Here is a 2,052-nt window from a genome sequence, read left to right as displayed (position 1 = left end):
TAACTAAACTAAAGATCAATAGAATGTCAAAAGAAAATCCAAGGATGGTGCCAGCCAATATGATCATAAATTCACTTTGGGTGCAAACCATCAAATTATGGATATATGATTACTTCACTTCACCTTCTAAAGATTCTTATTCTCTCCCAAGCAAACCCCTACTCCAGTTAGCAATACAGGAAAATTGAGTATAAAAAGAAAAAAAACTTTAATGCAATTTTTAATTGTCAATTAAAAAGATAGATAAAAATTAAACTCTGTGATGCCAGCCAGCATTATGGACTATAATTGGTATCAGGGTTGAAGAGACATAGAATTGGGAATGATTTACTGAATGTAAGAATAGCCTATTGCTGCATAAGAAATTACCACAAACTATAGCAACTTAAAAGAACAACCATTTATCTCACAGTGTTAGTGCATCAGGAACGCATGTGCAGCATAGCTGCATCTTCTGGCTCAAGATCTCTCACAAAAATTGCAATCATTTTTGACCAGAAACTACGTCATGTCAAGGGTTGTCTGGAGGAAGTTTCACTTTCAAGCTCACTTATATGAATGTCAGTAAAACTTGAACCCCGGCAGACTTTTAGCCAGGCCCAGAGAGCTTGGTTGCTGGCCATATGGGCCTCCCCATGGACAGCTCACAACGTGATGAATAGCAGAGAAAAGAGAGGAGCCAGGCTGAAGTCAGTTATTTTGTCACCTCCTCAGAAGTGGCATTCCTTCACTTTTGCTGGTTGTATTCATCAGAAGTGAGTCACTAGTTCCAGCCCACACAGTGAAAGAGGGAAAAACACAAAGGCATTAATAACGGGGGACATTGGGAGTGACTTTGAGGTTAAGCAGCCTCTAAACCACAAAAATCCAGAATGAGCAGAGGAAGGTAGCACGTTCTACGCGTTGATATGTGAATTGTAAGAAAATGAGTGGTATGTGTTGCGCAATAGCCTTCCCCTTCACATGTAAGGTTGGGGGATGGGTGTGGGGGGTGCATGGGGAGATTCTAAATTTTAAAATGAAGAAAAATATCTTTAAATTCCTGGGCATATTATTCTGGTAACTCCAGTGTTTGCTCCTGGGAGCTTGGAGAAGAAGGTGAAATATTGGTGATTGTTTTTTTTCATGTATTGTACTTTCCAAATGTTGTATAGTATGTATTATACATCTTACGTTTGTCTGTCTTCAGAAAACTATATAAAACCCTGAAAACAATATTGAAAGGCTATGACACTTTCACTTTGTGTTTCACACTCACACTACTGTATCTTTAGTAAATGTTATTTTCTATTATACAGACACATATTATTGTTGTTGTCAGACAGTTTAATAGCATCATACCAGCTGTGGGGGAGAGGGCTTATTTCTCCCAATCTCTTCAACATTGGAAGGGATTTAGAAACCATGCTATGTTGGTTTTAGAAGAGCAAGGAGTAATGGCTGTAATACCTTTGCTAGGAGTGGAAATGGAGGAATAGGTTGAGTAGGAAGTGCCCTCATATAGAACAATTAGAACTGACTTCACCTCTGTACTTAATAAGAACTTTAGAGATTCTTTATTTGTTTTAATGTTTTTCCCCAGTAGTGCTTAAAAACATTTCCCGTGTCCATGACCTCAGCAATCAACAGCACTCCGCAGGAATAACACAGACATGGAAGCCTCAGATTAGAAATAGAGCATCACTGAGCAACAGTGGCTACATTTGGGAAACATATCTTATCTAGACAAAAATTTGGTTGTAACAAGAAGCTGCGGAATCAGTGTAGATGACTGAGACCAGAACACTGTGAGGACTGAGAGAACCAATTCTGCTTGAATGACATCTATTTTCCTAGTTGTTCTGGTTAAGGGTAATCACCTTCAGCAAAAACTAATTAATAATTAAGACATTCATAATTGTGATATAATTAAGTTACTTATATGCATATGCAAGCCATATGCTATACTTCTCCAAGTGTTAATACATTTAATGCCCACAACAAACTTGTGCACCCCTGTGTAAGGAAACTGAAACTCAGAGTACTTAAAATTGCTTCAGGTCACACAGGCAG

General features: G+C 38.2%; 1 annotated feature.

Moving 5' to 3' along the window:
• Positions 218-1,417: an enhancer, noted in NCBI's record as "CDK7 strongly-dependent group 2 enhancer chr2:139879874-139881073 (GRCh37/hg19 assembly coordinates)". NCBI's record gives its function as "activates an origin of replication core promoter dependent on BRD2, BRD4, P300/CBP, MED14 and CDK7 cofactors, with strong dependence on CDK7, by STARR-seq in HCT116 cells {active_cell/tissue: HCT116}" and the evidence as "EXISTENCE:reporter gene assay evidence [ECO:0000049][PMID:35650434]".

The sequence above is a fragment of the Homo sapiens genome, chromosome 2, assembly GCF_000001405.40.
Source record: "Homo sapiens chromosome 2, GRCh38.p14 Primary Assembly".
NCBI lineage: Eukaryota > Metazoa > Chordata > Mammalia > Primates > Hominidae > Homo > Homo sapiens.
This window is presented reverse-complemented; position numbering and strand designations above follow the sequence as displayed.